At 50.4% G+C, this 21,363-nt stretch overlaps 4 annotated features.

The window, feature by feature from the left end:
• Positions 4,108-4,820: an enhancer, noted in NCBI's record as "H3K4me1 hESC enhancer chr8:103742478-103743190 (GRCh37/hg19 assembly coordinates)". NCBI's record gives its function as "activates a minimal SCP1, AML or CMV promoter by ChIP-STARR-seq in naive H9 embryonic stem cells {active_cell/tissue: H9 hESC(naive)}" and the evidence as "EXISTENCE:reporter gene assay evidence [ECO:0000049][PMID:30033119]".
• Positions 12,419-12,468: an enhancer, noted in NCBI's record as "active region_27771". NCBI's record gives its function as "activates an Ori minimal core promoter by ATAC-STARR-seq in GM12878 lymphoblastoid cells {active_cell/tissue: GM12878}" and the evidence as "EXISTENCE:reporter gene assay evidence [ECO:0000049][PMID:35858748]".
• Positions 18,875-19,387: an enhancer, noted in NCBI's record as "H3K4me1 hESC enhancer chr8:103757245-103757757 (GRCh37/hg19 assembly coordinates)". NCBI's record gives its function as "activates a minimal SCP1, AML or CMV promoter by ChIP-STARR-seq in primed H9 embryonic stem cells {active_cell/tissue: H9 hESC(primed)}" and the evidence as "EXISTENCE:reporter gene assay evidence [ECO:0000049][PMID:30033119]".
• Positions 19,388-19,899: an enhancer, noted in NCBI's record as "H3K4me1 hESC enhancer chr8:103757758-103758269 (GRCh37/hg19 assembly coordinates)". NCBI's record gives its function as "activates a minimal SCP1, AML or CMV promoter by ChIP-STARR-seq in primed H9 embryonic stem cells {active_cell/tissue: H9 hESC(primed)}" and the evidence as "EXISTENCE:reporter gene assay evidence [ECO:0000049][PMID:30033119]".

Here is a 21,363-nt window from a genome sequence, read left to right on the forward strand (position 1 = left end):
CCTGAGATCAGGAGTTCGAGACCAGCCTGGCCAACATGGTGAAACTCCGTCTCTACTAAAAATACAAAAATCAGCTGGGCATGGTGGCAGGCACCTGTAATCCCAGCTACTTGGGAGGCTGAGGCAGAAGAATCGCTTGAATCCGGGAGGCGGAGGTTGCAGTGAGCCAAGATCTCACCATTGCACTCCAGCCTGGGTGACAAGGGCAAAATTCTGTCTCAGAAAAACAAAAACAAACCAAAAAACCAGAGAGATCTGCCCAAGATCACATAGCCAGAAAGTGATGGAAATGGGATTTGAACCCTGGCAGCCTGACTCCATCGGCTGGGGGGATTTGGCCTGGATTTTGACCTGCTTCTAAAATTAACAGGAAAGCAGTAGGGGTTGGGGGAGGGTCGGGGGAGGAGAATCAGCAGGGAGCAGGAATTTGATGGAGATCATGTGATCCCAATGGCCTTGATGTGTTTTTTTTTTCAAGAAGTAGGAGACTAGGTGCCAAGCATTAGGCCCAGGTAGGAAGGGAGTGCGGGGAGAGAGAGGAAGGCACAGAGCAGTGAGTGGCAGAGGCGATGAGACCAAGTGTGGTACACGCGCTGGCAGCCACAGTGGTGCTGAGAGGGAAGACTGGATTCACAGTGGTGCTGGTCCTGTGAGGTGCGAGGACCTCTCCAGTGGTGCTCAGGAGCCAGGAGTGGGGAGGAGAGGCCTGCTGGAGCCTGCATAGCTGGGAACCAGGGCAGTGGGTGATGGGGAGCATCAGTGCTTCTCAACCCAAGTTGCATTTGAAAACACAGGAGGGCTGAACCCCACTCCACAACAGTGGAACCTGAGTCTCCGGGGGCCTGGCTCTGCTCTGTGCTCACAGTCCCCATGATGATGTGATGACCCTGAGGTGGAGGCCAGGGTGGAGGAGCTCTGAATCCAATCTAGCATGGAGTTCAAGTCACGCTGGGAGGTCGGGAGTAAGAGGGGCTGCTAGATGGGTTATACAAAATCAAAGGAGGACAGTGAAGGGATGATAGGGCAGGGCTCCAAGAAAGGTAAAAGTAGGGGTGAGTGCTGGCAGAGGTGAGGGATGCTCAGGGGTCTGGCGCTGTCCTGCTGGGAAGGCTTGGCAGGTTGGGAGAAGGTGAACAGGTACGGAGGTTTTCACAGCCTCTTCCACACCCATATTCCTGCTGCCATACTGAATGGAATTGTCTTGGAAACTTCCCTTTGTCCTTGGAATAGAAACCTCTGGGAGTCTGAAATAGGGGTGCCCTGAGGAAGTGCTTAGATGGAATTTTCTTCCCATGTGACCAGCATAGAAAAGAAGACTCACTCCAGTGGGGAGGTGACATCAGGGTTGGGTTATCTGCAGGATCTGGGGTATCTTCCACCACTAAGGAACTCCTTAAGAAAAGGAACACTGGAGAATGGGTTAGAATCACCTAAAATGCAGACGATGTTGTTAGTTTTATGGAACCGATGTTTATCGAGTTCTAATATGTGTCAGACACCAGCAGAACAAGACAGTAATGCAATCTTGCGTGGTGTTTCCCAAAGCACATTCTGGTATATTCACAGTATATTATTTTAAAAGGATGGGTTGGGGGCAGGGGGTCCAAGTGAAAATAAGTTCAGGAAACACAAGTTAGGAAACACTGGGTTAAAGAAAATGAAACATTGACTCACTGCAGGACTTCGCAGAGTTTTTAAACTGTCAGTATGCTCCAAGACTCTTCAAGGGTGAGGATGAAGACAGAGTTCTTCCCGAGCATGCTTGACCACAGGTCTGTTTCGTTGCTACAGACCTTGAGGAATGAATGACCCATGGAATGTGCTTTGAGAAGTGGAAGATGGTGGCCAAGAGGTGGGTTCTGAAGTCACAAGACCTGACTTCCTGCACAGGCTCTGCACCTAGTAGCTGTGTGACTTTAGGTGAGTTGCTTATGTCCATGTCACATCTGGAAAATAAAGCTAAATAATACTGTCTCCCCATGCAGTTGTTGGAATTAGTGCCTGTGAAGCACTGAGCACAGTTCCTGGCCCCCAAAACCACTCATTAAGAGGTGCTAGGCTGGGTTGGGAGATCCCTGTGTCTGCTCTAAAATTCTATGACACGTTGGCCTCAAAAACTCTGAGAGGGGACCAGGGGAGGGAGCTTCTGTCCTCTGCTAAATTTTTTAGAAACAAGACTCAGATGGCTTTGAAGCCTGTGATACATAGAGGAAGCACTGTTAGAGCAGGTGAGTGGGGCGGGGAGGGGAGGCACTCCCATTCCCTTCTTGCCTGGAGAAGCAGGCTCAGGGCATCCGTGGTGCTGGGGGTCAGCAGTTAAAGTGGTTTGGCTTCCTGGAGAGGGTGGTGACAAGGAGGGGAGGGGAGTGGCAAGCCAGCCATCGCCTGCCCCGACTGCCCTGGATCTGGACAGGCTGAGTAGACACACAGGAAACCTCCCAGGCCAGGCAGGCGTGGAGCAGCTGCTGGACTTGGCCCCAGTCCCACTGTTGTCCTTCCCGGAGGTGGATGCTTCTAGGAAGAGGTTACCAGAAAAGCTCCGCCACGGCTGCTTCTGGCCGACGTCAGCACCCTGGACCACATGGGGTCTGGGAGTCTGGGAAAAGGATGCCTCCCCTCCTGAGGGCTCTATGCCATTTATTTGGGACCTTGGAGAAGTGGGAACAGATGGTGGAACCACAGGGGGAGGGAGTCTGAACTGCAGGACACTGAAGAAGGGTCACACTCCTGCCCTGGGACCAGGGGCACTATTCCAGACCCTCCACTCCTACCCCTGGAAGCCAGCGCCTGTGACTTTCCTGACACGGGAAAGAATGGACTGTGTGCCCAAGTGTCCACTCTCACGGTCGTTATGTCTCCTTCAATTCTCTAACACCCTGGGGGTGGAGGGGAGAAGCCAGCCACCCCCAAACACATGCAAGTGAGTGCGATCTCCATGTCACAGCACTCTGAGGTCAAGCCCCCTGCCCACAATCAAGTGCGATCTCCATGTCACAGCATTCAGGGGTCAAGCCCCCTGCCCACAATCAAGTGCGATCTCCATGTCACAGCATTCAGGGGTCAAGCCCCTTGCCCACAATCAAGTGTGATCTCCATGTCACAGCACTCTGGGGTCAAGCCCCCTGCCCACAATCAAGTGTGATCTGCATGTCACAGCACTCCGGGGTCAAGCCCCCTGCCCACAATCAAGCAGGATTTGAACCCACATTTATTCAATCCCAGCACTCTCTCTAGGTAGGTAAAAAGGGCAGACCCTCGGTTTAAACTCCTGGCTAGACCCTGGTTTATTGGGAAAGCATCCTAAGTATAAATGAGTAGAACAGTTCTGATTGAAGGAATACTAATCTTGTTTCTTGTCTTTCTTAAGGAAAAATGCCTACAGAGCAGTGGGACACAGAGCTCTGCTGGCCGCCTCCGACGAGGATCTAATGGCTTTTCCAGGAGCGCACCCCATCACCACCCCCAGACAACTCAGATGGCTTCCCCTCCCCTTTTGTCTTCTGGGCTGCGCCCCAGCACCCACCAGTCTCTTTTTCTAGCCAGGGTGGGGCCTCCCAGGGCTTATGGGCTCTGGGCCCAGGGCTCGCTTCCTTTCTTGGCAGCTGCTAGAAATCTCCAGTTTCTGGCCTACTAAAACCCTTCCATTTATTTATTTATTTTTTTTGCCTGCTCCAGGGAAAGTTTTGATTGGCTTCAGCTGGGATGACCTCATCCTCTCTAGATTTTGGTGGCGTTCCCATTTTCCACATCTCCGCCTTTATCCAAGGAATTCCCTTCTGACTGTCTTTTCTCTAAAGGTCGCCCCACCCGCGTCTTCCTGGGCTTTGGAATTCCCCATCCTCACTTGGGAAGGCAAGTGGGCCGTGGACTCTCACCGTCTCCCCACCACTGCCCTCCTGGGTCGTCTTGACTGCCCCCAGCTCTGGCAAGTGCCTCCTGCAGGATCCCAGCCTCCCCTGCAGGGATCCTTTGCTCATTCGCCCCTCCCCCGACTGATCTCTGCTGTATATTCAGGACTCACAGGAAACCACATTATTTAAACTCATCATAATTAACTTTGTGCCAGACCTTCTTTTACATTATCTCACTTAATTTTCACAGTAATCTCATAACATAAAAATTGTTATCCCCAGTTTATAAGAAATGGAGGCTGGGAGAGTTAGACGTAGCCTGCTGGAGATGAGCAACTAGGATGCGTGGAGTTGAGATCCAGACCTAGGTGTGTGTGGCTCCAGGTGTGTGTGGCTCCAAGGCCACTGCACGATGTTTGCCTCATTGATAAATGCTGCCGGCTGCACGCATGTGCACAACGCTGCCGGCTACACAGCTGTCTCCCCTGGAAGGATCAACAGCAAATCCCATTAGCTCCACCTTCAAAATATCCCCAGAATCTGACCCCAGCCCTCACCCGAGCCACAACCACCTCCCACCTGGACTCACTGGAACAGTCTAAGGGGCCTCCCGTTCCTGCCCTTACCCCTTCGGTCATTCTCCACATAGCAGCCATAGTGATTATGATTATGATTATGATTATGATTATGATTATGATTATTATTATTATTATTAGACAGGATCTCACTTTGTCACCAGGCTGGAGTGCAGTGGTGTGATCTTGGCTTACTGCAGCCTCTGTCCCCTGGGCTCAAGCCATCCTCCCACCTTAGCCTCTTGAGTAGCTGGGACCACAGACGTGCACCACCATGCCCAGCTAATTTGTGTGTGTGTGTGTGTGTGTGTGTGTCTGTGTCTGTGTCTGTGTGTGTGTGTGTGTGTCTGTGTCTGTGTCTGTGTGTGTGTGTGTGTCTGTGTTTCTGTGTTTCGGTAGAGACAGGGTTTCACCACATTGCCCAGGCTGGTCTTGAACTCCTGGACTTAAGTGATCCTCCCACCTCCGCCTCCCAAAGTGGTGGGATTACAGACATGAGCCTCCACTCCCAGCCTATAGTGATTCTTTAAAATGTTCATTTCTCCTGTGCTCAGAGCCCTCTGGTGACTCATCGCATTCTGAGTCCAAGCCAAAGTCCCTACAGTGGCCTAGGGGGCCTGCGCAACCTGCAGTCCCATGATCCCTCCCACAGTCCCTGAGGTCACTTCTTACTGCTTACTCCCTCGACTGCAACTGGAGCAGCCTTGCTCTTCCTTGAACACACACAGCAAGCTCTGGCCTCAGGGTCTTTGCATTTGCTGTTCCTGCTGTTTGAAGGCTTTTTCCCAAAATAGCTTTGTGACCCAGTCCCTCACCTCCTTCAGGTTTTTCTCGAAAGTCACCTTTTCAGTGAGCCCTTTCCTGTTCACTGTGTCTCCTCCATCCTGCTCCCTAACCCTCTCCACTCCCTGCTTTTTCCTCCCCACAGTACTATCACCAAGTGACATTATTTTGATTATTGATTTGATATTTGTCTGCTCCCCTGCTAGAATGGAAGCTTCATGAGAACAGGAATGTTTCTGTTTTATTTCTTTCATGGCTGTAATTGCCATTGTGCAGAACAGTAACTGGCACCTAGCAGATGCTCAATAAGTATTTGTGGAAGGGTGGGAGGAAGAAAGGTGTTGGTTAGGTAATTTCAGGTGGCAATGAGCAGAGGAAGTCAGGACAGGCCTCCGAGCAGAGCATCCTGGCCAGGCCTTGGGGGAGCTGGCACGCGGGGCCCGTTCTCCAGGTGGAAGTAGCCTTTGGCCTCTTAGCACCTCCTCTTTGCAGCCCTAGGACCAAATGTTGACTTGAGTCTCAGAGGGGCTGGTCCCAGGGTGAGTTCCTGGGAAGCAGATTCCATGGTGGAGTTCCATGTGCAGGAGGCTTAGGAGCAAGCGCTCTTTAGAGCAACGCCTGAGGAAGGGAGGAGAAGGAGGCAGGGGTGGACTGAGAAATCAAGCTGGGATTTAGGCCCAAGGACAACCTCGGCCAACTCCGCGGTGACCTCTAGGGCTAAAACAGCCCCTCAGAATGGTCCCACATAGGCTGAAACCCCAGGCCTTTATGTACCAGCCTCAATCAGTCTGTGAAGGTTGGCCTGGTCTGGGGTGGGGTGAGGCACTTGCAGGTGAGGCACTCCCCACAGCTGCGGCATCCAGGCCCGCCTTGAAGGGGGATCTGAGTGGCACATGGCCATGCCCACCACAAGACCCTCAGCAGGGTCTGCCTTGCTCAATGGCTGCCTCACCCACATGTGGCGTCCTCAAGACCCCAGGAGAGGGTCTTGATCCCGGTGTCACACGGTCAGGGTAGACACACTCCAGGTCAGAGCTGACCAGCTCCTGGAAGAGAACCAAGACAAAACCTAATTTAGACAAGTAGCAACAGTGCTTTCTGAATTTAAAAAAGTAGGCCAGGTGTGGTAGCTCATGCCTGTAGTCCCAGCACTTTGGGAGGCCGAGGCAGGAGGATCACGAGGTCAAGAGATCAAGACCATCCTGGGCCAACATGGTGAAACCCCGTCTCTACTAAAAATACAAAAATTAGCTGGGCGTGGTGGTGTGTGCCTGTAGTCCCAGCTACTACAGAGGCTGAGGCAGGAGAATCGCTTGAACCCCAGAGGCGGAGGTTGCAGTGAGCTGAGATCACGCCACTGTACTTCAGCCTGGTGACAGAGCGACACTCCGTCTCAAAAAAAAAAAAAAAAAAGGAGAAAAGAATAAAGGTGCAAATGGCCCCTAATCCAATATGACTGGTGTCCTTATAAAAAGGGGAAATGTGCACATGGAGACATACACTCCAGGAGAACACCATATGAAGATGAGGGGAGGATGGTGTGATACGTCTACATGCTAAGACGGGCTAAAGATTGCAGCAAACTGCCAGAAGCTAGGGGAGAGGCATGGGACAGATTCTGTCTCACGACCCCAAGAACCAACCCTGCTGACACCTCAGTCTTGGACTTCCAGCCTCCAGAACATTTCTGATGTTCTAAGCCACCCAGTCTGTGGCACTTCCTTATGGCAGTCTAGCAAACTAATATACTTGTTAAGTTCTTAGACTCACTGAGCCTCTGCCTTCTCATCTGTAAAATGGGGATGATTTTACTTACCTCACACAGTTCTGACAATTACATGAAATTAAACCATCTCTGTCATAATTCCAGGCACAGGGCGTGTGCTCTGTCTTGTCAGTGGTGGTGGTGGTGGTGGCGGCTCTTAGAGGTTGGAGCAGCTCATAGCAAAGATCCTTTCCACTCTCGACATACTTTAATTCTGTGCCTCCACAGATCGTGTTTGATGAGCTTTTGCACCTCAATTGCCATCTCTCCCTTACATTCCACTGGCCCAGATGAAAACAGCCAAGCAGCAGCAGCAGCAGCAGGAGCAGCAGCATGGTTCTGAGCTCTGATGGCTGTCAGTAACAGTGCCTGGTGGTCCACAGGGAGGGAACGGTGGGAGGGCTGTCTTCAGAGCCTGCAGAAGCCTTCCTAGAACCCGTGTTAACCTGGCCCCTGAGCTCTGTATGCACACAGGTATGGAGGAAGGAGAATGCTAGGCCAGCCCTTCTGGATACTTATTACACTGGTGCAAAAGTAATTGCGGTATTTGCCATTGAAAATAATGGCAAAACCCACAATTACTTTTGCACCAACCTAATAAAACAATTTTCAGTTAAAAGAAGGGCATCGTTAGCATCAGCACCCAGACATTTAAATCGTACTCGTCCTCGATTAGCTCAGCACTGAGTTCCAAGGAGTGACTTCAGACATCCCCCCTTGCTCACAGAAAAGAGAGGTATTACATCAAGCATTACGCCACTTCTAAAGTGGAAGAAGAACAAAACAATTGTCAATTACATGTGTTTTGTTTGTTGTTGTTTGAAACAGGGTCTCACTCTCACCCAGGCTGGAATGCAGCGGCGCCGCCACAGCTCACTGCAGCCTCAACCTCCTGGAGCCAAGCGATTCTTCTGCCTCGGCCTCCCTGGTAGCTGGGACTACAAGTACATGCCACACCTGGCTAATTTCCATATTTTTTGTAGAGGCGGGGTTTTGCCATGCTCCCCAGGCTGATCTTGAACTCCTGGACTCTAGCAATCCACCCACCTGGGCCTCCCAAAGTGCTAGGGTTACAGGCATGAGCCACCGCGCCCAGCGTGGATGTGTATTGTTTATTGTAGCCAACCTTGTAGTATTGACTATGCTTTGGTATGTTATAAAATTGTGTTTTAATATGCAATACAAATACTTAAAAGTTCACTGCAGGCCCTTATGTAATCAATGTGATATGTATATTTTCTAGGGCCTAGAAAATAATTTTACTCTTGTGAATAATTGTGGAAATTTCTAGTTACTATGGCATTGGTTTTAGAATATCTTCTTGGCTATTTCTATGATGAATTTTTTCAGGAACCAAAAATTATAGCATTATTCTTGTTGAAAGCTTTTCTAGTTTGCCCTAGACACCCTAGAGTTCATCTTTTCTTTTTCTCACTTCTATAGCTTGTGTTGTTAATTTTGTACTTTAACAACATCTACCACAACTAAAAGCATTTTTTTTTTTTTGGTAAAAGTGATAAATGCTTATTTTTAAAATTTTGGGCCAGGTGCTGGGGGTGTCAGTGGCAGCCTGGGAGTAGTTGAGCAGGGAGTGGATTTACACTGGTGCTCAGGACCCCCTCAGTACGAGCCCAAGGATCACATTTGATGATAGAGGCTGTAGGAGTTTCCCTGGGGCCCTGGGAGGGAAGGAGGCAATGGAAGTGGGTGCAGGCGGAAGCACAGGCAGTGGCCTGCATGGTTGATTAGAATGAAGGCAGCTGGAGCCCAGAGGGGCAGGGGGGCTGGTCTAGGCCCAAGGGAGAAAGAAGAGGAGGAGGAGTGAGTGGAAGAAAGAAAGCTCGTAGGAAGCGACTTGGCTGATGGAGGGAAGGAATTCATCCCAGTCCAGGGATTATGGCAGTGACCCCATCAAGACTGGGCACTGGAATCAGAGCGATCTGGCAGCCAGTGCAATGAAGTAATAACAATGGCTGTCCTTTCCTGAACGCCTGCTGTGGCCAGACCCCAAGCCAGGAGGCTTGCAGACATCATCATGTCATTTCACCCTCACCATCACCACTGCAGGTGTTGCTATTCCCCATTTTACAGATGACGACGCTGTGGTTCAAAGAGGTGAAGAAACCCAGATGCAGAAGTGACGTGAAGCCTTTAATTCTGCACACATGTTGAGTTAGGGTTCCATATTAAATGTGTGAATGTGTGTGCAGGATGTGGAACAGAGCCTGGGACACAGTGAGCATCTTCCAAGTGTTTCCTGTTATTATCGTGTACCAGCCACAGTGGCAGGCCCTGGAGACACTGTGGATAAGAAAACATGTGATTCCTGCCCCTGTGGACCTTAGAGTGTCCCACAAGGGAGACTGACACGAAACAGAAATGGAAGAAAAAGTATCACACAAATCATACAGAGTGACAAGAAGGAAAATGGACTCCATGCCATGAAGCCCCCACTCTGACCCCAGGCCTAGGCCACTGGGCCATAAAGGAGGGAGGCACTGTTGGTTTGGAGCCTGAGTTCTCCAGGCTGGTTCCAATGTCATGGTGGCACCTCTAGGCCAGGGTTTCCTTACAGGAAAAAGCAGGGGTAGGCAAGAGATTTGGTTTTCTAACTACATTGTAGCTGAGGAATCTTTTATTCAAACGTGATCTTAAAGGCCAGGCATAGTGGCTCACTCCTGTAATCCCAGTGCTTTGTGAGGCCAAGGAAAGAGGATTGCTTGAGCCCAGGAGTTCGTGACCAGCCCTGGAAACACACCTCTAAAGAAATCAAATTAGCCAGTCATGATGGCATGCACTGGCAGTCATAGCTATTAGGGAGGCTGAGGCAGGAGGATCACTTGAGCCCAGGAGTTCAAGTCTGCATTGAGCTATGCCCATGCAACTGCACTCCAGCCTGGGCAACAGAGCAAGACTTTGTCTTGAGAACAGACAAACAAACATGATCTTAAGCAAATGTCAAGTCCAATGTGCCAAAAAGTACACACTCAGCTGCTCTGATTGAGGAGAGAACTGCCCCACTGTTCCCCGTCTCCCTCCACTTCATAGCAGCCCAGAGACTCAGAATTTCTAGGGCTATGTGGAGTCCAGCTGGAAAGCCACTGGATCATAATAATGGTATTAAATGAGCACTAACTAAGAGCTACAGTCGTTACGTTATCCCATTTAATCTTCCCAACAACTTTACAAAGTCTTCATTTTATCAATGAAGAATCTGAGGCTTAGAGGGATTAATAATGTAAATAAATAACTGCTTGAAACTTGTTGATTGTCTTGAAATGGGCCCAATTGTCTCACAGAACTAATATTTCTAGTTTCTTTGAATAAGTATAGAAATTGATCCAGTCTTGACGCTTGAGAAAGTTACATTTGTCTTATCTGAGTTCTTTTCTCAGGAAACCAACCATCAGGCCTCCCAGACAGTACCAAAGAGCTGAAATTCACCAGATCACCTCATCTGGACAATGATATGCCAGACCCCTCACCCCTCATGATTCCCTAACCCACCACCAGCTTCCTGTTGACCAACTCCTCTTCCTTACCCCTCCCTAATTCCTGTTTCCCCACACATGGTTACATATCTTCCCTGCTATATAAACCCCTAATTTTAGTTGGTCAGGGAGATGGGTTTGAGGCTGATCTCCCATCTGCTCAGCTGCAACACCCGATTAAAGCCTTCTTCCCTGGAACTACCCATTGTCTCAGTGATTGGCTTTCTGTGTGGCAAGCTGCAGAACCTAGATTGAACCCCTGGCATTTTGGTAACAGATTTACCACTGTGGATAAATTAGAAATAAAGTTGCTCCCCATGGTCTGGCCCGTGCCCACCTGTCCAGCCTCATCACTCCCCTCTTCACAAACACACACACACACACACACACACACACACACACACACACACGATCTCCAATGCCCATCTGTCACCCCAGCCTTGTCACCTGCCTCACATGCTTCTCCATTCTTCTCCCAGTGTGCTAATTCCTTATCGCTGCTGTAACAAGTTACTGCAAACTCAGTGGCTTAAAGCAACACAAATTTACTATCTTACTGTTCTGGAGGACAAAAGGCCAAAATGGGTCAGCAGGGCTGTGTTGTTTCTGGAAGTTCTAGGGGAGAATCCATTTCTTTGCCTTTTCTAGCTACTAGAGGCTTCCTTGGTTATGGCCCCCTTCCAGCAATGACACCACTCCAGCTTCAGCTTCCATCTCTTTCTACTCTGACCCTTCTAACTCCTTCTCATAAGGACCCTTGTGGTACATTGGGTCCACCCAGCTAATCCAAGATAATCTCCCATCTCAAGATCTTTAACTTCATCACATCTTCTTTGCCATGCAAGGTAGCACATTCATAGATTCTGGGGATTAGGATGCAGACATCTTTGAGAGACATGATTCAGCCTGTCACACGTGGTGACTCCTCCCATTCTTCAGTTTTGAGCTTAAAGGCCATGTCCTCAAGAAACCTGTCCCTGACCTCCCTGATAAGGCTGTCTCGTGATGGGCTCTCACAGCATCTTCTACCTCTCATTGCTTTCATAGTCACAATTTAACATTTGTTTGGGTAATGCCATGACTAATTAAACTCCCCAAGCCACTTGGTTTTCCCATTTGTATTTTCAGTGTAGGGTAGAGTCTGGCAGAGTAGGGGCTCAATTAACATTAGCTACATAAATGGACAAACAAATCAATGAACTTGCCTAAGGTCACAGCAGCAGGTAGCAGAGGTAGGATTTGAACGTGGGCAGTGAGCTTGCAGAGTCCTCTCCTCTTAGCCATACACTAGACTGCCTCTCACAGATCTGCAGCAGCTCAGGCTCGGGGGGGCACATATTTAAGTCTCCCCTGCAGGATCCCACCAGGTTTAGGGTTGCCTGGCCGACCTACCCTTTAATACCTCCAGGGCCCAACAGTCTAAAAACCTGTGATTTAAGACACATTTCATGAGGTGGGGGTTTGGGAGGGAGGTTCTGGAAACCCTGGCAATGTGGGACTGGGATAGTGGGTGTCAGAGGCTGGAGAGGCAGCAGTGGTGGAGGTGATATGAGGCCGCCAGGAGGATAAGCCCTCCAGGGGAGGTGGTGGGCACACACACAGGAAAAGAACGCGAAGGGCAGTGCCTTGGGCACACCCACGGTGAGAAGCTGGGAGAAGGCGATGCCAGTGAGGAGGAAATGAGCTGTCACAAACCTGGAGATGTGGGAAAGTGCAGTGTCATGGAAACCAGGGGAGGGAGTAGGTCGGTCCATCCATCCCTCCATCCAGGAAGAGGTGGCTGGGCTGTGGGAGCACCAGGGCTGTGGGTCGGGAGCGGGAGGGGGAGGTGGGGGGCCCAGGGCCACCTGTCCTGCTGGGAAGATCAACCCTGCTGACCCTCAGCAGGGCGGTTTCAGTAAACTGCAATGGGAGGTGGAGGACGAAACGAGGCTGAGTGGGTGCTTCAAGGATTCAGGAGGAAACACAACGAGACCACACATTTCCGGATTTGGCAGGGAAAGAAGAGGATGGTTGCTGGGAGGGGGCAGCCAGGACATGGGGAGACGCGCGTGGGTTTGCAGGCGCCCGGGAAGAGCCGGGGAGGAAACAGTGGAGAAGCAAGAAGGAGGGCACGTCGTGGGCGTGCACCAGGCTGGGCAGGAGAGTCCGATGATGAGTCAGCGCTCAGCGCTTCAGTCAGTGAGAGATGGGGAGGCGGCACCGGCACCGTGGCTCGGGCTGGGAGCTAAACTTTCTCCCTCCGTATTCACGCTGGGGTTGGTTTGGAGAAGGGAGAATGACCGTGGAGGCTGGAGGCGGGGACTCAGGCTCTGAATGCAGATCCACAGCACAGCTTTCGCCCTGCACCCCTTTCCTAGAAAGCCCCCTTTCTAGGAGACCTCAGAGGGCCCCAAGCCCTGGGTCTGGAGTCCAGTGTGAAGCCACCGTGGAGGGTCTGTATGGAGGGGTGCAGCTCGTCTCCTGCCTCGCTTCTCCCAAAGGTTCTAGAACTGCCTCCCCTTCCCCAAGGATGCTGACAACTGTATTTTGAAGAGTCCAGTGCTGTGCTTGGATCCCTCTGACAGGCTCATGAAGCTATGGGCCTTTTCTTAGAATAAAGCCATAAAATAAAATACCTAGGATTACCAAAGGAGCCAAATGCATGGAAAAACACTTCTCAAAATACATTTTAAAACCCAAACTTCTAATATACGTGCTTCTTTATCACATGCATTAAAGAACCGCAGCTGATGTCACAGTGTTGATGAGCATGGACGGCATTTGGAGGCACCTGCAAAACTCTCACGTGATACGAAACTGTTGGTGATTTCTTCTGGTGACAGTCACAGATCCCATTACGACCGTGGTTGCTGCCTACACTCATAATGGAAGGAAATGCTCAGTTTTAGGTAGAGGTCAGTGAAAATAAAGATGTAATTTTTACCCATCCAAGTTCTTGGACCCCCGACCTTCAAAATGTTAAGAACTTCTGTTCTGTAGCAACAGTCAAAAGCCCCAATGCCTATAGGGGCCAGACGGGTGACATCACAGAGGTCAGATGAGGGCATGGCCACAGGCTCAGTGCCCTGGACAGCAAATGCTCCTTCTAGAGGGAACAGCACTGCTCAGCTCCAGGGACGGCAAGCCTGGTACCAGCCAATCCTCACATTGTTAAGAGATGCCAGAAATACCCATTCTTATGTAAATCCTACTAAGTTTTAAATGTTAGCAAAAATATTCACGTTTTAAAGGGCATTTGGAGGTAGAGGCAGATATAACACAGCTACAGCCGTGAGACATCAGGCTCTGGATCCCTGCTGAATGGGACCCTTTATGGGGCCCAGGCATCCCCTCCGGGCCCACAGTCTTCCATGAGAGGCCTGTTGGATCACACGGAACGCACGGCTCCAGTCTAAAAATGGACTAGGCAATAGCCCCAGTTTACAGCAAATTGCCACATGAAACCTAGCAATTGTCTGACTGTGCCACCTCATGGGCCCTGCCTTCCTTCTCTGAGACTGTCTCCACGTGCACGGCTCCACAGGAGAGAGCTGGATCCAGGCCGGAAGCGGAGTTTCAGTCTTAGCTCTGCCACTTATCAGTTCACTGGGCTTGAGAAGTCACGAATCTCTCTAAACCCCTGCAAGGTCTCATCTACAAAATAGGCTTAATGGGTCCATGGTACATTCTAGGATGCTGTCCAAATGCAAGGAGTTCTGGTTATTTCGAGTTTCTTTTTGTTTTCTGCTTCACTCAGCTGGGTCCCTATGGGGTTAGGGTGTAGGAAATGAGGGAAAACATGTTTGTCCCAATACGTAGCATAATGGACAACATCTGTTAAATAAAACCCAAAGCAATTGTGACTTATTCAAACCATTACCACTTTGGAAGGAGGTTTGGACAGTTACTCAGGTTGTTCTGGCAGCACTGAGATCTGGGTGTCCTGCAGATTTAGGAGGGGCAGTGGGAGAAGCCACAGGCCTGGGGGACATTGCTGCTTTCATTTTGCACATGCTGTGCTCAGCTCAGCCCCTGGGCATTTCATTCTCATTTTCAGATGTTGCAGACTGGTGCTCTGAGCTGCTCAAGGCCAGGTTCTCTGGGGGCTGGGTGGTTATGGGAGCTGGGAAATGAGACCAGAGAAGAATCCTGCCACCATGCTGTCACATCAGAGCCTTTATTTAAAAAAAGAACACCCTGTGGCTCCGTGGGTGAAGGCGGTGCTGGCTCCTTCCCTGTGTGTGGATCAGCCGTGCCTGGGACTCAGGTCGGGTTGGGTCAGGCTGTGTCGGGCTAGGGAGCCCAGTCTCCCCGGCTGGTGCATGACAATGAATTAGGGCCCTGGAAAAGTGGGGCCACCAGGGAACTATCCATCCTGGGTGCATGGAGGAAAAGCAAGAGCCATTGTCCACAGATGAAACTTCCAAAGCCACACACAAGAGGCAGATCCCTGCTATGCCCTTGTGTAGCTGTGAGACCTTCAGCTGATACTTCGATCTAATAAATTATTACAGGAGAAGCGTTTAGAGCAGCACATCACAAGTGCTGGACAAATGGTAGAATTACCCTACCAGAAACATCCTTTCATCCCTTGCAGTCTGTAATGAAGCTCATTGAAACATCCCTGCGAAATCAGGGAGATATTTATGCTCCTAGTACTCCATTTGGAATCTGGTGAACTTCTACTTGTCCAAAAAGACCCAGCTCAAATGACACCTCCTCTGTGAAGCCCGTTTTTCATGCCACTGCACTATTAAATGATTTCTTTATGTCAGGATCTGTACTGAGCACTTCACATATGTCCATGCAGGGGCAGATTCAGGTTTTGTGAGGCCTGAAACTTATACAATTTAGAAGGTCTTCTTAAAACATACACACACACACACACACACATACACACACACACGACATCTGATTGTATTTCTCGGGTTTCTAAAACAAAAATGACCTCCTTTAGCTGGGCATGGTGGCTGAACCTGTAGTTCCAGTTATTCAGGAGGCTGAGGCCAGAGGTCTGCTTGAGTCTAGAAGTTGGAGGTTACAGTGAGCTGTGATCACATCACCGCACTCCAGCCTGGGCAACAGAGCAAGATCCTGTCTCAAAAAAAAAAAATGACCTTGTGAGCACATAGCTAGGGCCTTGGAAGGCACCTGAGCAAGTGATGGGCCTTGACGCTTAAGCTTCATCAGCTTCGTTGGTAAATCCATCTCTGGTCTCAAGCAGTCTCCACCATGGCCCAGTGAAGTTGGTAACTATTGCCCCATTTTATAGATGTGAAGAGTGAGACTCAGACATAAGAAGTAACTTGCCCCAAATTGTGCTTTTTTGTTATTCTGAGACAAGGTCTCACTCCCGTCACCCAGTCTGGAGTGCAGTGGCATGATCACAGCTCACTGCAGCCTCAAACTCCTGGGCTCGGGTGATTCTCCCATCTTAGCCTCCTGAGTAGCTGAGACTACAGGCACATACCACCACACCTGGCTAATTTTGTGTATTTTTAGTAGAGACGGTGTTTCACCATATTGCCCAGGCTGGTCTTAAACTCCTGGGCTAAAGCAATTTGCTTGCCTTGGACTCCCAAAGTGCTAGGATGACAGGCATGAGCCACTGCACCAGCCCAAATTGTGCTCTTGACCTCGGCACTACCTGGTGTTCCCCGCTGACCCTGACAGGCAGTGCCTGTTACCTGGCTGGTGCCTCCATTGCAGGGCTTCTCATGTGAAAGCATGGCACTGCAGTTATTGGCTTGCCCATGCCACTCTACTGCATGTCAGTTTCTCTCAGGCCCTGGGACAGGCCTTTATCTTTGCATCTGGGTGCCCCAGAGAAGGTGCTCAATAAATGCCTATTGGGTGAACGTACACACTCCACCTTCACCTTTTCGTACCCTTGGTCTCCACCTGTTTCATGCGCCTGCTGATGAGCTCCCAGCCTTGGCCTAATATTTTGGAGAAAGTTTCCAGGGTGCAGAGGGGAAAGAGAAAAAGAAGCCTTCCTATGAGACCTGAATAAGACTGCAGAACAGAATAGTCAATTCATACATTCAACAAATGTTTCTTGGGTACCATTCTAAGTACTAGGAACCAGAAATGAACAAAACAGACAAATATCCCTGCCCCCAAGCAGCCTGCACACTACTGAGGGGAAACAGACCAAAACACAATAAATAATAAGATAGCAGCCTGACAGATGGTGGCAGTACTGTGGGGAAAACAAAGCAGGAAAGGAGGACCGGGTCTGCTGGGTGAAGTGGGGTGTGTGGGAGAGCCTCATGGGGAATATGAGATCTGAAGGAAGTGGAGGGAGCCGTGTGGCCATCTGGGGAAGATCCTTCCAGGCAGGAGGTGGGACCATGCCTGATGAGTGGGAGGAGCAGCAAGAAGGCCTATTGTGAGTGAGGCCAGGGTCAGCCAAGTGACAGGGGACAGGCCACACAGGCTCTGAAGGCCACTGTGGAGAATCTGCACCTTCCTCTGAGAGACAGGAGCCAAGCCACAGGAGGATGGCTGAAAGGAACCCTCCATCTGCCAAGTTGAGAACAAAGAAGGAGTCAGGGATACCAGTTAGGGAGTATTTCAAGAATCCAGGTGGGAGATCATTGCCACATAGACAAGTCTGGTGGCTACGGAGAAGCAGTTCATTCCTGGATGGCTTTGAAGCCCAAGATGGTGGGATGTTAGATGTGAAAGAATGGAGTAAGGATGGCTCAGAGATTCCTGGCCTAAGCAGCTGGAACGATGGGAATGCCTACGGGAGGAGGAGCTCCTGGGAGCGAGATCAGGATTTTGAGTTTGGATATGTTAAGCTTGAGATGTTTCTTGTAGTCAAACATGCAACTGGATACATTAGGCTGGACTTCAGGAGAGAGGCCCAGGCTAGAGAAATAAAATGGGAACTCATTCACATAGGAATTCGAGGCCTGAGACTGAACGAGATCACCACCAAGGCACTGTGCACAGAGAAGAGGTCCCAGATCTGACCTCTGGGGCTTGTCAGTGCTTAGAGATCAGGGAGATGAAGCTGAGAAGGAGCAACTAGGAGCACCTGGTGTCCTGGAAGCCAGGAAAAGCCAGTGCTTCAAGGAGGAAGAGGTGTTCACCTGGGTCCGGTGTTGCTGATGGGAGAAGTGATATTTGGATGGACCACAAGAAGAGCTTTGGTGAGCTTGTCAGTAGAACTTCCATGGAGTGGCATGGGTGGAAGGCCAAGAGAAGGTTTCTTACACCAGGGCTAAGCTGGGTGAGACGGGAAGCCATGAGGCGGGAGAAGGACAGGAAAAAGAGGGTGGGCTCGAAGGATCCCTGGTCCTGGTGGGGAAGTGGAAGTGTTGGAGATTGTAGCCACACTGCTAGTTGGAGCCCGATATCCTTTCTCCCCTTCATCCGTAACAATAGGGTCTTTTTTTTTTTCTTTTTTGAGACAGAGTCTCACTCTGTCTCCCAAGCTGGAGTGCAGTGGTGTAATCTCGGCTCACTGCAACCTCTGCCTCCTGGGTTCAAATGACTCTCCCTTCCCAGCCTCCTGAGTAGCTGGGGTTACAGGTGCCCACCGCCACACCCAGCTAATTTTTGTATTTTTAGTAGAGAAAGGGTTTCGCCGTGTTGGCCAGGCTGGTCTTAAACTCCTGACCTCAGCTGATCTGCCCACCTCGGCCTCCCAAAGTGCTGGGATTACAGGTGTAAGCCAGCTTGCCCGGCCCCATAATAGGGTCTTGCTGAGCACATTCCTGCCCAGGTGAAGACCATACTTCCCAGCTTCCCTTGCAACTGAGTATAGCCTTGTGGCTGAGTTCTGGCAGTGGAAGGTGACAGAAGTGAAATGTACAGGTTCCACATCCCTGGCCTGCAAGGAGTTTGTTAGTCCCACACCTGCACCTTTCCCTCTTCCATGAAGGGTGACACGCGGTGGCCCAGGTTCAACCAATGAAGCAACGCACGGGGCAGGGCTCCTTGCCATTTTTGTGCCTTGGACCACTTGGCTGTCTGATGAAGACCATGGATGCTTCTCAGAAGACTGTTCTTAAATGCGTGGAATAAAATAATAAGATTACAAAGAAAAATAAATATATTGAAATATCAAAATAGTAAAGAATTACAGTCTAATAAAATATATACTTCCTTATTAATGCATTAAAGAACCATCTAGCAATGGATCTAATAAACACTCTGCTTTCAAGGTCTTGGTATAGTCAAAGGTAAAGTCAAAGTCCTTTTCAAAGCATAAAGGATATCTCACAATATCTTTACCAACTAAATGTGATAATAAAGTATCTGTGATTTCTGTTGGAAACAAGAAATAAGATCACAGGTACCACCAATACTCCTGTGTTTCTGGCCTGCTGTCATAATGAAAGAAAATGCTAATTTTCAGGTAGAACTTGGTGGAAATCAAGATGTAATTTTTTCCCCATGAAGGGTCAGAGAGCTCCTGAATCCTGGCCAGGTCTGTTGAGGACATCTGCCTTTGGGGATGGCAGAACCACAGGGTGGAGGAAAACTGCATTCCCCAAAACCGCATGAGGCAGAGCCACCCTGCTGGCCTGGAGCAGCCAGGGTGTTATGTGAGGGAGAATGAAGGTCCTGCCTTTTTCACACTATTGTCTTTGGGGTCTTTTTGTTATAGCAGCATATCCTGCACCCTAACAGAGAGCCTGATGGTGACTGAGCAATTGTTAATGTGCCATTGTATGAGTCTGTTGATTGCCTGGCCTCAAAGCAACCTGAAACCCAGCTAAGGGCCTCTGGACTCAGCAGCCTGGGAAATCAGAAGTGAGTCTGCCCGATCATCCCCCTTTTTCATTCCACCATGCACCTCCTAACGTGCAGACGTGGGCCTCCCCGATGCCCCACCCTGTCTGGGCCTCAGCAAAGTCCACCTGGTTCCTGTTCTTGGTCTGGACAGGCCTGTGCCCTGGCCTCACCCTCATCATGACTGGTTGACAAAGGAGCAGCTGTGGCTCCCCTCCCTCCGCCCCCTCACTCCCCAGCCCAGACGCACCGCGTGGCGGGGCAGATCCCTGACTCCAGTGAGCAGGAATGTTACTGCAGGCCTCGGGTTGGTTGTGGCTGTGATTGCTGGCAGCACCTCAAGACTCCAAGAGGGTCTGAACTGGAGTTGACTGTGCAGCCGGGAGCAGCAGAAATGCCCTTAAAAAGGGAAAGGAGAGAGATGCCAAGGGGAGAGCTGACTCGGCCTGTGCCAGGAGCATGGAAATCTCAAGAAGTAGAGTGGGGAGTGAAGTCAGTAACAATTCTAACCACGAAAGCTGCCGTGGACTGAACGTCCACTAACTGCCAGGACTATACATGTGCTTCCCATAGATAGCCTCTTTGAACCCTCGCACAGCCCCATGACTTAAGTTCTACCATCTTTAGAACTATACAAACTCAGACTCAGAGAGACTGAGTCACCTGCCCAAGGTCACACAGCCAGCGAGCTAACAAGAGTTGAAACCCGGCCAGGTGCAGAGATGCACACCTGCAATCCCAGCACTTTGGGAGGCTGAGGCACGAGGATCACTTGAGCTCCGGAGTTCAAGACCAACCTGAGCAACACAGCAAAACCCCGTCTCTATAAAAAATGCAAACATTAACTGGGTGTGGTTGTGTGTGGCTGTAGTCCCAGCTGCTTGGGAGGCTGAGACGGGAGGATCACTTCAGCCCAGGAGGCGGGGGTTTCAGTGAGCCAAGATCGCACTACTGCACTCCAGCCTGGGCAAAAGAGCAAGACCCTGTCTCAAAAAAAAAACAAAAAAGAGAAAAAAAAAAGAAAAGTAGAAGCCTCTTAATAACGAGGCCTGGGGCTAAGCATCAGCTTCCTCTATCTTCCCTGGGAAAGAAGAAGCCCAGCTCTCGCTTTAGGGAGTTCTCACAGCAGAGGGCTCCTGCTGCTCTGGGTAAATGTGTAGCCTTTTCAGAAAAGGGCAAGGCTGGAATCTCCAGGGAAACCTCTCTCTTCTGGTATAGCAGGGCCAGGACCATGGCTATGATGAGCGATAAGATGATGACAGAGCCAGAGCCAGTGGCCTCAGCCAAGGCTTTGACTGGGGCTGGCTAGTCTGTCCATCCTTACCCTTTTCTGAGAGGGCGCAAGAAGAGGAAAATGGGGTGAGGTTTCCAATGCTGGGTGCAGCTCCCCATGCCCAGTGCTTAGAACAGACACGGGACAGGATGGACAAGAGCTCTGTCCTGGCAAAAGCCAAAGATGGGGGGTTGTGGAGCTCCAAGAGTCGGAGGAAAGGAAAGGGACAGCCCCAGATTTAATTGAGAGTCTCTAATTTCAGGGAAAGGTTAGAGCTAGAGAAGGCAGCACTGGGCAGTGGGAACAGCGTGCACTGTGGGCCAGACAGACCCAACACAGTCCAGATGTGTGATCAACTATAGACCAGATGTGTGGTGCAGATGGGCCACATTGCCTCCCACACAGAGCAGAGTCACAGTTCCTGTGACATTGCCTGCCACGTCTTGATGAAATGAGATCATACATACTCTGTATGACAGAGGGAAGCCAAGGTGAGTGCTTGCACAGTGCCTGCTTCATGGCCTCCCTAATTGCTATCCTGGAGCTCTGCGTGAAGAAGAGCAGGAAGTGGTGTGGCAGCTGAGTCCTGAGAGATGGGCTAAGGCTCAGGGGGAAGGCAGGCAAGTGGATTTCAGATCCACTCGGAATGTGCTGCTGGCTCCCTGACGTGCTAATCTACAGTGCTGGTGACCAAGGCCCTTACCTCCAGGGCAGAGTCTGCTCCAATCAGGCTTGGGAACCCAGATGGCTCCTGGACAAAGAACTACAAGGACCCCATCAGCCTCGCGGAGGAGCCTGCGCTGGCCTTGTGCCTGCTCTCCAGGACATCTTCATTGCTGCCAAGGCTCTGCCTTGTCCCGTGTTTGAGAAATGATGCCCCTGCTTTGTGAGCCCC

Source organism: Homo sapiens, chromosome 8 (assembly GCF_000001405.40).
Source record: "Homo sapiens chromosome 8, GRCh38.p14 Primary Assembly".
NCBI lineage: Eukaryota > Metazoa > Chordata > Mammalia > Primates > Hominidae > Homo > Homo sapiens.